Source organism: Homo sapiens, chromosome 10, assembly GCF_000001405.40.
Source record: "Homo sapiens chromosome 10, GRCh38.p14 Primary Assembly".
NCBI classification, from domain to species: domain Eukaryota; kingdom Metazoa; phylum Chordata; class Mammalia; order Primates; family Hominidae; genus Homo; species Homo sapiens.
This window is the reverse complement of record NC_000010.11, coordinates 112,889,996-112,903,294: the sequence shown is the minus strand read 5'-3', so window position 1 is coordinate 112,903,294 and position 13,299 is coordinate 112,889,996. Positions and strand designations below refer to the sequence as shown.

The 13,299-nt window shown below is 45.3% G+C and overlaps 1 long non-coding RNA gene across 1 annotated transcript in view, besides 2 other annotated features; it reads right to left on the bottom strand.

The window, feature by feature from the left end:
• Nucleotides 1-12,263, bottom strand: part of LINC02935 (long intergenic non-protein coding RNA 2935) — a 36,907-nt gene extending 24,644 nt beyond the window's left edge. Inside the window, exon 1 of the long non-coding RNA XR_001747706.2 lies at nucleotides 12,223-12,263. This is a non-coding gene — a long non-coding RNA (long intergenic non-protein coding RNA 2935). The remainder of the gene's footprint in view (nucleotides 1-12,222) is intronic.
• Nucleotides 1,531-2,031: an enhancer, noted in NCBI's record as "H3K4me1 hESC enhancer chr10:114661023-114661523 (GRCh37/hg19 assembly coordinates)". NCBI's record gives its function as "activates a minimal SCP1, AML or CMV promoter by ChIP-STARR-seq in naive and primed H9 embryonic stem cells {active_cell/tissue: H9 hESC(naive and primed)}" and the evidence as "EXISTENCE:reporter gene assay evidence [ECO:0000049][PMID:30033119]".
• Nucleotides 3,619-4,431: an enhancer, noted in NCBI's record as "OCT4-NANOG-H3K27ac-H3K4me1 hESC enhancer chr10:114658623-114659435 (GRCh37/hg19 assembly coordinates)". NCBI's record gives its function as "activates a minimal SCP1, AML or CMV promoter by ChIP-STARR-seq in naive H9 embryonic stem cells {active_cell/tissue: H9 hESC(naive)}" and the evidence as "EXISTENCE:reporter gene assay evidence [ECO:0000049][PMID:30033119]".
• Nucleotides 12,264-13,299: the final 1,036 nt, after the last annotated feature.

Genomic DNA, 13,299 nt, shown 5'->3' with positions numbered 1-13,299 from the left:
ATGGGACTCAGAGATATTTGATGCATTCAGTGATTATGATGCTCCTCCTTCCATTCAAATTCAAATACTCTGGGGGTGGAAGAAGATGCTCCCAGTTTACCCTGAAGGATGGATGGGATCTCCAGGGCTTGGGATTGTCTGGACCTGCAGCTCCCCTGAGATCAAGTAACATCGCTGGTTGGAGGTCTATGGTGCTGACAGAGAAGGAGGGAAAAACAGATTTAGAGAGGAAGGAATGAAACAATATGGGTGAAAAGAAGAGAAAAAGAAAGAGAAGACAGAAGTGAGGAAGGAAGGGAAGGAGGGAGACAGGGAGGAAGAGGAAAAGGAAGGAAAGGAGGGAGGGAAGAAGAAGGAAAGAAGGGAAGGAAGGAAGAAAAGAAAGAAGGAAGGAAGGAAGGAAGGAAGGAAGGAAGGAAGGAAGGAAAGGTGGCTTATAAGATGAATACTGGTAGAGGGAGAGTCTCCTGTGACCACTTCTAGCAAGCACCTGCATTTCAATGTCTAGTGCATAGTAGGTGCTCAGTAAATATTGCTGGCCAAGGATCCAGTCATGCTCTGCTTCTGCTATTCCTGTGTCTGATCTTATCTCCCAATGAGATTCTTTTTTTTTTTTTTTAAATGGAGTCTTGCCATGTCGCCCAGGCTGGAGTGCAGTGGCATGATCTCAACTCACTGCAACCTCTGCCTCGCGGGTTCAAGCAATTCTCCTGCCTCAGCCTCCCTAGTAACTGGGATTACAGGTGCACACCACCATGCCTGGCTAATTGTTGTATTTTTAGAAGAGACAGGGGTTTCACTATGTTGCCCAGGCTGGTCTCAAACTCCTGACCTCAAGTGATCCGCCCGCCTTGGCCTTCCAAGGTGCTGGGATTACAGGTGTGAGCCACCTGCCTGGCCCTATCTCCCAGTGAGATTCTAAGATCTTGGAAAGCAAAGACCGTATCATTCGTTTCTTACCCACAATAGAACTGCCTCTACTCAAAGGGGTTACTGATATTATTTAAATTCTCATTACAATTTTGCAATACAGAAAACAGGCTCAGCAAGATCAAGTAAATTGTTCACATTTACACAGCTATTTTAGGTGGTGGGGCCAAGATTCAAACTCTCTGCTCTTTCATGCTACTTCTGAAAGGACCTGAAATCTTTCTGACAAATGAATAGTGTATTTGTCTTCTCACCAAGATGGAGACTTCCATTTCCTTTCTTTTCTATAGTAGCCATTTTTCATTTGTCACGGGAGCCCCAGTAAGAACCTAAGTACTGATGCAAGCATATAACTCATATTCTCCAAACCTTAGCCTTTGTGCACTGGCTACTAACCCATGGTGGTCATGACATTATGAGACTTCATAAACACCCACCTCATTCCATAGAGCACATAGTAGACAAGGGCTCAGGGAGAGAGCAGATGCACCTCTGGATTTTTCCACTGCAAGGATTATTACATAGTCTCACTCATTAACAACCCTATGAGGTGGATGTTGCCAGACCCCTTTTACCATTGGGAAAACTGAGGCTTATAGAGCTTAGCATTTGGGAGGATTTGGGAGCAGGTAGTTTATTCAGGAGGCGATCCCAGGAAGCACCAGTAAGGGAGCAGGGAAGGAAGAGACATTGCAGGTGCTGTTATGGACAACTGAGGCTTCATCCTGCTGGGGGCCTTCCGAGGAACCAGTGCTTTGTGTCATCTCTTGTCCCCAAAGGGACGAGGAAGCTGAGATGCTTAGCCAACAGCCTCTGGCCCTCTTTGGGGGATGCCTTCTCTGGAGGGGTTAAATCTAGGGCACTCTGCTTGCCCTACTCAAGATTGAGCAAGTTCTCTTGGAACCAAGGGGAGACCCTGGGCACTTGAGGGTGGAGACTGTCAGCAGGCACAGGGAATGGCGGGTGACCTTGAAGGTGAGCCAGGGGAATATGGGGCGTGTTTGATCAAGGTCATACCTGCCCAGGGTCTTGCTGAGAGGAGAAGGAGCCAAACTGGGATTCAAATGCAGGTCTAGGCCGGGTGCGGTGGCTTACGCCTGTATTTCCAGCACTTTGGGAGGCCAAGGCAGATGGAGCGCTTGAGCCCAGCAGTTTGAGACCAGCCTGGGCAACATGGTAAAACACTGTCTCTACAAAAATACAAAAATTGGCCAAGCATGGTGGCTCCTGCCTGTAGTCCCAGCTACTTGGGCGGCTGAGGTGGGAGGGTCACTGAAGCCTGGGAGGTTGAGGCTGCGGTAAGCTGCAATCACGCTACTGCACTCCAGTCTGGGTGACAGAGGGAGACCCTATTTCAAATAAAGAAATAAAAGCAAAACCAAAAACAAATGCTAGCGTGTTTAATGCCAAAACTCATTTTCCTTCTGTGACACCAATCACTTAAGCCCAGTGAAGGAGTTAAAGTCCACACACCAGCCGGGCACAGTGGCTCATGCCTCTATTCCTAGCACTTTGGGAGGCTGAGGTGGGCGGATCACCTGAGGTCAGGAGTTCGAGACCAGCCTGCCCAACATGGTGAAACCCCATCTCCACTAAAAATACAAAAAAAGAAAAAGAAAAAAAAATTAGCCGGGCAAGATGGTGGGTGTCTGTAATCCCACCTACTTGGGAGGCTGAGGCAGGAGAATTGCTTGAGCCTGGGAGGCAGAGGTTGCAGGGAGCCGAGATTGCACTATTGCACTCCAGCCTGGGAGACAAGACCAAGACTCTGTCTCAAAAAAAAAAAAAAAAAAGTCCACAGACCTTGGAGGTGGACTGGGTAGGCTGGTGAGAAGAGTAGGGGTCAAAGATAGGTTGTCACCTAGGGTGGAGGCCTGTCTAGTCCTAACAAGGGCAAGAGGTGCTGTCATTAGCATCTCCTGCACACTCAGGAGCATAGAAAAGCCCCTGTCCCAAATGTAATTACCAGCACTTAGAGTGTGAGTGGAGGCAGGATCTATGAGTAGCAAAATACACAAGGGACGCAAGAGTCACACTTTCCAGATTAAAGAATGAAGGACAAGATGTGGAATAGCCTGGGATGATATTAATGACACTAACCACTGCTTCCTCCACATTTTGAACTTTTCTGAAGCACCAAGCTACATCTTTACATATCCCAGGGTCAGCCACATTTTCTGCAAAGGTCTAACAGGTAAATACCTTAGGCTTTGAGAGCTGCAGGGCCTCTGCTACTCAGCTCCACTGTTGTAGCATGCAAACAGCCATGGACAATCAGTCATTCAAAGGGGGTGGCTGTTTTAAAAACTTTATATAAAGAGACAAAAACAGGCACCTGCTAGATTTGGCCCACACGCCATAGTTTGCTGACCCCTGACATGTACTGTGTCTAATCCTGGCAACAACTCTCCCAAAGCAGTTTTGTTGACTCCATTTTATAGCTAAGTAAACTGGTTCAGAGAGGTTAAGTAACTGTGTGAAGTCACACAGCAGGTAACTACCAAGCCGGAATGGAGACCCAGGTGTGATTCCCAAACTGATGCTACTTATGTCTCGACTTGAGATCAGCCTGATGACATACTTGTGCTTCTGTGAAGCCCTGTGGGGGGATTCCAAACACCCAGGATGACAGACCCCAGGCTTCTGCCTCCCTGCCTGCGGCTCCGGAAGAAAGCTAGAGGCCCTCTACTGCTGTCACCCAGATGCCACATCTCCTCAGGAAGGAGAGGTCCAGAGCCAAGCTCAGGCATGGCCAGTGTTACATAGCTGGAGGCCTGTCTTGGCATCAGCCGCCTGGCGCCCAGTTAAACTTTTGACTTCCCAAATTGGAGAAGTTGAAAGTTCTGCTGGGCATTTTTTTTTTAGGGAAACATTTTTTGGTGTTAATTATTTACCAGAAATGGGTCTGTTTCTCTTTCTCTCTTTCTCATTCTTCCCCGCTCCTGGAATTATCTTCCCTTCAGATTCCCTCCTAACAAAGAGTTAACACTGGGGTAAGAGGCATTTAGTGGCTTCTCTTTCCAGACAAAGGAAAGCTAAAGTGTGGTTAGGGAGAGAACTGGGGGCTCTGGAAGCTTTTCCCTGGAGAAGTTGCTTCCCATTGGCCCGACCTAGCTACCTTGCATCTGATGTATAATTTAGCGATCCATTTCCTGCCACCCACCCAGCGTCGTCTGTTATCTGTGGGTATTTATCGACCCTTTCCCCAAGAAACTGCCTGGAATAGAGATGGGGAAGCCTGACAATCCCATTGTCCGAGAAGTTAAACATTAAGTTGGGCTCAAAGTTTGCTCCCCACCCCCACCCCCTGCTGCCCTTAAATTCCCTTTGGCCACACCTCCTTGCCAGAGCGTGAGGTGCTAATGGCCAGATTTACATCTGTGTAAATCCGAGCTGCGGGCACTAATGAGGCCTGAAGTGGAGGGAGCGGACTGGGGTGGAAACCCGGCTTACTCTACACAAGCCCTGTCAGAGACGCCCAAAACGGAACCCCAGGCCCAAACCCCGCCTCCAGAGTCGAGGCAGCAGGGAAAGAGTTAAACAAGAGGCAAGTGACTCAACGCGCTGCTGCCCTCTCCCTGGAAGCACCTTTCCCCAAGTCCCACAGCGCAAGGGCTTAGCCCAGGACCATGCATAATTGATGACGTCAGCGAGGCCCGATTTCCCCAAGCTGGTCATGATAGTGAATATTCACCTCATCCTAGGCAAGGGCAGAGCACCCTAATCCGGGTCACTGAGCGTCCATCTCAGTCCAGCATTTTGGGGACAAAGGCTCCCACGGCAAGAGCTGGGGTGGAGAAGGGGCATCCATGGGCAGCAGTACCCAAGTTGGTTTCAAGTCAGACTGATGGGGGGTCAGTTTCTTCTCCACAGCTTACTTACTTGCTCTGTGACCTTGAGAAAGTCACTGTCACTTCCTAAGCTGTTTATCCCTATCTGTAAGGTGAAGACGATAATAATTCTACCTCACTTGTAGAGTGTTGGGAAGATGACCTGAGCTAGCACGTGTGAGTGCTTTGCATGGTACCTGGCACAGGGGTGCTCAGTGACTTTATCCATTGCTTTCTTTTTCTTTTTTTCTTCTGAGATGGAGTTTCGCTCTTGTCACCTACGCTGAAGGGCAATCTCCGCCTCCCGGGTTCAAGCGATTCTCTTGCCTCCGCCTCCCAAGTAGCTGGGATCACGGGCATGTGCCACCACGCCTAACTAATTTTTGTATTTTTAATAGAGATGGGGTTTCACCATGTTGGCTAGTCTGGTCTCGAACTCCTGACCTCAGGTAATCAACCCGCCTTAGCCTCCCAAAGTGTTGGTATTACAGGCATGAGCCACCATGCCTGGCCTTATCTGTTTATTTCTAAATGGATGGCCCTAAAGGGAAGTCAGGATTGACAGATGGCAGGAAGACACAGGAATTTGGTAGAAAAGGAACTAAAGAAGTTTTTAATTAAAAAAATTATTTGTATATATTAATGGGGTACAAGTGCAGTTTTGCTACATTGACATATTGCATTGTGGTGAAGTGAGTGCCTTCAGTACCTCCATCATTGGAGCAATGCACATTGCACCCACCAAGCAACCTCCCAGCATCCATCCACTCCCACCCCCTCCACCTCTCTGAGTCCCCATTGTCCATCATTCCACACTCTCCTTCCATGGGTACACATTGTTTAGCTCCCATTTATGAGTGACAGCATGTGGTATTTGTCTGTGCCTGGCTTATTTCACTTAAGATAATAAGCCATCCATGTTGCTGCAAAAGACAGGATTTCATTCCTTCTTTATGGCTGAGTAGTATTCCACTGTGTGTGTGTATATATATATCATATATCATATATATGTGATATATATATAACATGATATATATACATGATATATATAACATGATATATATACATGTATATATAATGACATATATACATACATGTATATATACATATATAACGTGTATATATATACACGATATATATATATACTGTATATAATATCACGTTAAAAAAAAATCCAGTCCTCTGTTGATGGACACTTACGTTGATTCTGTATCTTTCTTATTGTGAATAGTGCTGTGATAAACAGAAGAGTGCAGGTATCATTTTGATATAATGATTTCTTTTCCTTTGAGGAGATACCCAGTAGTGGGATTGCTGGATGGAATGGTTGTTATTTTTTTAGTTCTCTGAGAAATCTGCATATTATTTTTCATAGAGGTTGTATTAATTTACATTCCCACTGTCAGGGTATAAACGTTCCCTTTTCTCTGCGTCTTTGCCAACCTCTGTTATTTTTTGTCTTCTTAATCATAGCCATTCTGATTGGTGTAAGATGATATCTCATTGTGGTTTTAATTTGCATTTTTCTGATGATTGGTGATGTTAAAACTGGAGAATTAAAAAAAAACCCTCCAGGCACGGGCCAGTGCAGAGTCTGGAGGCCATGCTTAGCTCTCCCATCTGGGGGATGCCCTTGGTTTAAACTCTCTGAGCTCAGTTTCTGCATCTGTAAAATGGGAGTGTGGGGGATGCTTACCCTCCTGCCCTGGAGGTTGGAGATGAGCTTCATGTGAGCTAAGGAGTGTGAATGAGCTTTGGAACCCACAATCCCTTCACGAGATGGTTAATTTTATGTGTCAACGTGACTGGGCTAAGGGATACCCAGATAGCTTGTAAAACATTATTTCTAGGAGTGTCTGTGAAAGTGTTTCCAAAAAGCTTGACTATTTGAATCAGTAGACTGAGTAAAGAAGATGGCATCATGTAATACATGGCCTGAATAGAACAAAAAGGCAGAAGAAGGGATATCACTCTCTTCTTGAGCTGGGCCATCAAACTTCTCCTGCCCTTGGACATTGGAGCTCTTTGTTTTCGGACTTTCGGACTCAGACCAGGACTTACACATTAGCTGTCTGACTCTCAGACCTTTGGACTCAGACCAAGTGACATCACCAGCTTTCCTGATTCTCTAGCTTGCAGACAGCAGATTGTGGGACTTCTTGACTTCCATAATTATATGTGCCAAGTCCCACAATAAATCGCTTCCTCTATCTATCTATCTATCTATCTATCTATCTATCTATCTATCTATCTATCATCTATCTCTCTACCTATCTATCATCTCTCTAGCCATCCATTCATGTCTGTATCTCCTACTGGTTCTATTTCTCTGGAGAACCCTGACCAATAACACTTCAGAAATGCAAGGGATTGTTATGGATATCAAGGTATCCATTGCAGTGTGTTCCTGATAATAATGATGGTGGTGATGATACTGACAGCACAAACTCCAAGTTCTCAGGGTCAAGAACTGCTCCTTCTTTGTCACCCTCAACTCCTCCCCAAGACAAGCACAGAGAGGAGCTCAGGACACAATTCACACACACATTTGAACCAGTTCATGTAATGGATCAGCACCACCTCTATGGCTGCATACAAAGACAGACAAAAGCAAGGCAGACCTGCGCTGCCTTCCCAGGCAGAACTGTTCCTCCCCTATATGAGCATCTATTATTCTAGTCCCTCTGCTGACCGCCTGATTCCTTGTAGGTGCTCAATAAATGTGGTTGGATGAACGAAGCATATTACTATTACCAGTTCAGTTCTCTGCTACACACTTTCATAGTTCATTTCCTCTGTAGAAGAATTATTCATTCTTTTTTTAAATTTTTTTATTTTTTGGTCATTGTGATGATTTTAAAAATGGTCACCAATACTTTGATATTCCTTCCACCGAAATGTGGGGCTTTGTCCCCTCCTCTTGGACCTGGGCAGACTAGTGACTGCTTTGACCAATTGGGTACGAGATATAAATGAAACCTTGTGACTCTGCCCCTCATTCTCTCAGTGCTCCCTTTCAAAATGTGTCCCCTGGGGACACAGCCACTAGGCTGTGAGAAGCTGGGGCCACCTGGGGAGGCCACATGCAGTGCTCCACTGCACAGTCCCAGCTTAGCCTGACTCTCCACTCATCACAGTCCAGATGCCACATGCATGAGTGATGAAGCTCCAGGTGATTCCAGTTGATCCCACTTGTCCTCATCACCCCTAAGTTGCACATCTTCTAGCCGATTCCCGAAACATGTGGAACAGAGACAAGCCATGCCCTCTGGGCCTGTCTGAGCTCTTGACCATAGACTCTGTGAGCATAATAAGGTGATGGTGGTTTTCTAGGAGGAAGCTGTGGGTGATCTGCTGTGGTAACTGGAATCTCCTTAGCTTGCATGTCTGCTACTGAAGTGTCAGCTCTCTGAGGGCAGAGTGCAGGTCTGGTTTGCTCACTACTCCTTCAGGGATGGGACTAGGGTGGGGTCAACCGAGTGCCTATGGCACAAACTTTAAAAAGGTGCTCACCTTCAGGACTGTGGGAGTTCAGGGTGAGTGCCTGAGAGCCAGTGCCTCCTTAGATGCCGTGCCTTGGGTGCCCTTCCTGCCTCACCCTCTTTCTGGCCCTGATCCCTGGAGACCAGCAGAGTGCCTGGCCCATAGTAGGCACTCAATAAAGATTAAATGAATCAATTAGTGAAGGAATAAAAGAAACGGACCCTGAAATGATATCTTCCTTGAGGTGGTAATGAAAAGAAGCAGCACTAGACTTGGAATCAGAGGGAGATAAATTCAAATCTCAGTGTTGTGGCTTCCTCACCACAGAAACACGAGCAAGTTGCTTAGCTTCTCAGAGCCTTGCCAAACCCCAAAAACAAAGAGCCTCAATCCAACTCAACCAGAGCCCGAAATTCATCTTTTGGCGGTATGCATTTTTAACAGTTACCCCTCAACTGACACATCTTTTTCCCCCTTAATGGGGAAATTAGTGGCATTAATACTGTCCCAGGGGTTACTGTGAAGGGAAATAACATGTATGTAAAGTGCCTGGCGTGTGTGGGGAATCAACACACATCATTCCCCTCTGCCTCCCCACTCCCTTAAAGTAGGCAACTATTCAGCAATCTCACAAAACTCTGCTGGGTACAACATTCCAGAGCCAGGGGGAGTCACAGTTTGGAAAATCCTGAGTTTGCCCCCATAGGGAGTTTGTTTTCATTTGCTTGCTTTTTTTTTTTTTTTTCCCTTAGCAAAGAGGCAGTATATTGTAGTAATTAGAATCACAGGAATCAGAGACAGCTAGGTTTGGGTTAAATCATAGCCCTCTCTGACTAACTTATTATATAATCAGCCTAAAGTCATTTAAACTGAACCTCAGTTTCCTCATGTAACAGCTGCAAGTAAAAATACTAAAATCTCCATGGCTAAACACAATAGAAATTGAATTCATGATCATATTACAGCTCAATACAGGAGTACTCAGCAGGTGACCTCCTCTGGAAGGTGTCATGAACCCAAGCTCTTTGCATTTGGTGGCTCCACCATCCTCTAGACCTCAAGGTCATTAGCTGGATCCTCTACATCTACTGGCAGAACAGGAGCGAGGAGCTTTGCAGGGGAGGTTTTTATGGGCCTGGGTTGGAAATGGCACATGCTACTTCCCCTCGGATTCTACTGGGCAGAACCAGTCACATGGTTTCACCTAACCACAAGGGAATCTGGGAAGTGTGCTCTAGCTGGGTGCTCAGGAAGAAAAGGACGATGCATAACAGTCCTTGCCGTATCTCATCTGTTAAATGAAACAAATCCTGGAGACAACCAAGAGGGCTGTGGAGAGATTTAAATTAGACAAAATGTGCAGTATGCTAATGCAGATCCTGTCCCAGAATAAGTGCTCAATAATGGCAGCTATTCAGTTCATCATCCACGTGTGGGTCAGTACCATTGCTTATCTACTGTGGAGGACACTAGAACATGGAAGAAATACACCACCATAGTGTGCTACAGTGACTGTGCTTCTTGAAGCTAAGATATCTGATTATCAACACACATTGAGCAGACACAGTGCTTCATAGACTAGGGTCCTTGGGAGATGCAAATGAACAAACACTGATCCCTGGAATCATAAAGCTTGTTCTTACTCAGTGTGGCTGATGGACTTGGCCCCAATGCCTATAATGCAGGTAAAATATATTAAGCATCCAGAAGGAAATATGTCTTAATTTCAGCTAAAGGGATTAGGGAAGCCATTTGGAGAATGTGATATCTAAGTTACACCATGAAGGTTTCCAAAAGGTGAGATGGCAGGGAAAGGCTTTGTTAGGGAAGAGACCAATGAGAGAAAAACCATGGAGAGAAGATCAGAGACAGTTTGGGAAATGGCAAATAATTCAAATGGCAGCAACAGAGTGTGAGTGTGGGGACAAACAAAGTGGTTACAGGCCAGCAGGAACAGACATAGGCATGGAGATTTGCATGCTGTGATGAATGACACTGGCTTTATTCTATGGGCAATGGTGAGCCATGAAGAGTTTAGGGTTTCCAGCAGCATTATTTTGATTATGACACTGAGCAAACTTTTGCACAGCTATCAGAGTTGGTTAAGACAGGTATAGTATTTTTTGTTTTTTGTTTTTGAGATGGAGTCTCACTCTGTCACCCAGGCTGGAGTGCAGTGGCATGATCTTGGTTCATACAACCTCCACCTCCTGGGTTCAAGCGATTCTCCTGCCTCAGCCTCTCGAGTAACTGGGATTACAGGCGTGTACCATCTTGCCCAGCTAATTTTTGTATTTTTAGTACAGACGGTTTCCCCATGTTGGCCAGGCTGGTCTCAAACTCCCAACCTCAGGTGATCCACCTGCCTCAGCCTCCCAAAGTGCTGGGATTACAGGTGTGAGCCACTGTGCCTGGCCAGGTATGGTATTTTCATTTCACAGATGATGGAACTGAGACCAGAAACTGTCTAAGCAATATATATATTACAGAGTAAATAATTTTAGCTACAAAATCAGTGGGTTGGACTAGAAACTCTTTCATTTCCCCTTTGTATCAGTTAGGTTTTTATTCCACAATGCTGCATAACAAAAGGCTCCTAAGTCTCAGTTGCATACAACAAAAATGCATACATTTCCAGCTCGTGGTTATATGAGTTGGCTGAGGCAGCACTGTCTTAGGGTATGGATTGACTGGGCTTCATTTCAGACAGTAGGGTAGGTCGAGGTTTTCTCCCTGTGTCTCTTAACTTCCTTTAATGGTTTCTTAGGGCATGCTCTTTTCATGGCATATGGCAGAAAGAAAAGACAGCAAGCCAAATGCACAAACCCATTTCTGTCCTAAAAAAAAAAATTACAGTACCTGTCTTACCCAATTCTCTGACAGCTGAGCGAAAGTTTGCTCAATGTCATAATCACAGTAATGCTGCTGGAAACCCTAAACTGTTCATGGCTCACCATTGCCCACAGAATAAAGCCAGCGTCATTCATCACAGCATGCATATTTCCATGTCTATGTCTGTTCCTGCTAGCCCACAACTCCTGTCATGTCTGCATGGCCACATCAGCGGCCAAGCCCAATGTTTAGGGACAGAGAAGTTCTGTGCTCTGGTGAAGCAATGAGAGGGGGATTATAATGCTAAAGAAGGAAGGACTGGGATGATAATCTCATTGACCACACTCCTATTGCTAATGCTTAGTGATTCTAAGCGGGAGAGCCCGTTACAGCATGTGGCTCTGGAGTTGGTAGAAGTAATAGAAGTGATACAGAATGAACTGCTGTATATAAGTGGATATATGGCAGAATCCCAGCATATAAAAATTTAAGTTATAAGAAACTCAGCTACATGGCCACACACACACAGAACAATGTAAATGGTGTAGCACCTGGCATTTCCCTGGGAAAGCCTGTGTTCTGGAAGGGCCTCCCATAGGATGCACCTCTCAGCCATGGCTCCTACACTGAGGGTGGGAGCCAGCATTTTGTGGCCCTCACACACACACACAGGCGCAACTGAAGAAAGAGCAACCCTCACACACACAGGCTCAACTGAAGAAAGAGCAACCGTTTCCCTTGAGAAAAAAAGGAAAAATAGGTTGTGCTGGATTTGTTGCGATATGGCAGTACCACACCCTTTAAGGATGATTTCCGGGATTTTCAGGATGACTAGACCACTGTGGAAGGCTTGTTGTGTGATGGGGTCAGGGTATAAGTTGGCAGTTCATCACAAAAAAATCAGTTAAAATGGAGAAACTTTATAAAACAATTCATATGCATATACTCTAAATGCTTTTAAAAATTTAAACGTGGTGGCTGGGCATGGTGGTTTATGCCTGTAATCCTAGCACTTTGGGAGGCTGAGGCAAGCAGATCACTTGAAGCCAGGCATTCGAGACCAGCCTGGCCAACATGGTGAAACCCTGTCTCTACTAAGAATACAAAAATTAGCCGGGCATGGTGACGTGCCTGTAATCCCACCTACCTGGGGAGGCTGAGGCACGAGAATCGCTTGAACCCATGAGGCAGAGGTTGCAGTGAGCTGAGATCACGCCACTGCACTCCAGTCTGGGTGACAGAGCGAGACTCCATCTACAAAAACAAAACGAAACAAACAAAATTTAAACATGGTAAGTATACATTTTCTTTACCAATCTTTTGATGTAGAACCAAGGCTTTTCTTAAAGGAATGGGTTTGGTCTTTGGAGTTCCGGCTTCTCTTTCTTGCCTAAGCCAAATGCACATCATTTACAATTTCCAGTTGTGGTTTTCTTAAGGTGAAGCCAGATCTTAAAGACACCTGAAGAACAATCAGATTGCAAGCCTCTTTGGGAGTTTTATGTTTCTTCTCCTATCTTTTATTCTGTCTCACTTGCACTTAGTATTTTTCCTATCAACTTTATGGAGGAATAATTTACATATAATCAACTGCATCTAGTTACAACACATAATTCAATGTCATTAAACAGTTGGATACAGTCTTATACAGCTGTGAAACACAATCAAGCTACAATGCATTTCTATTACCCCCAAATAATTCCTTAATTTTAAGGATTTTTTTTTAGCAACTTGCCTTTATAATTCCAAAGTATGCTTTTAGTTTTCATAGATACCACTATGCTCTCTTTGCTTCTTCCTATTTCATTGGCTGCCATACTTTTCTGTTAAATTAGTTCATGGCAATGTCGTGGTATAAGCAGGTTTGGGTATACCCAAACCACTAATCTGGTGGGTTCATGGTAAACATTAAACTCAGCTGGGGAAGCAGAGGTGCATGGAAATACTAGAGAGTATGAAATGCACCAATCCTGAGCATTCAGATGGCTATGGACACGCATGCCCTAGGATGTTTTACAGAGGCCAGGAAGAGCAGCCAATGGATCAGAGTTAGTTAGTGGGGGCTGATTAGGGAGTCTCTACTCAGGGCTGCCACATACCATTGTCCAGTCTGTGCACTGCACAAAGTGCTGCCTAAGGGGACAAATGGCAATTAAATTCCTGCTAGAAGTACTCTTTCCAAGCCCTGCACTCTGCTGCAGTCTTCTGTCTAGAAGAGATACCT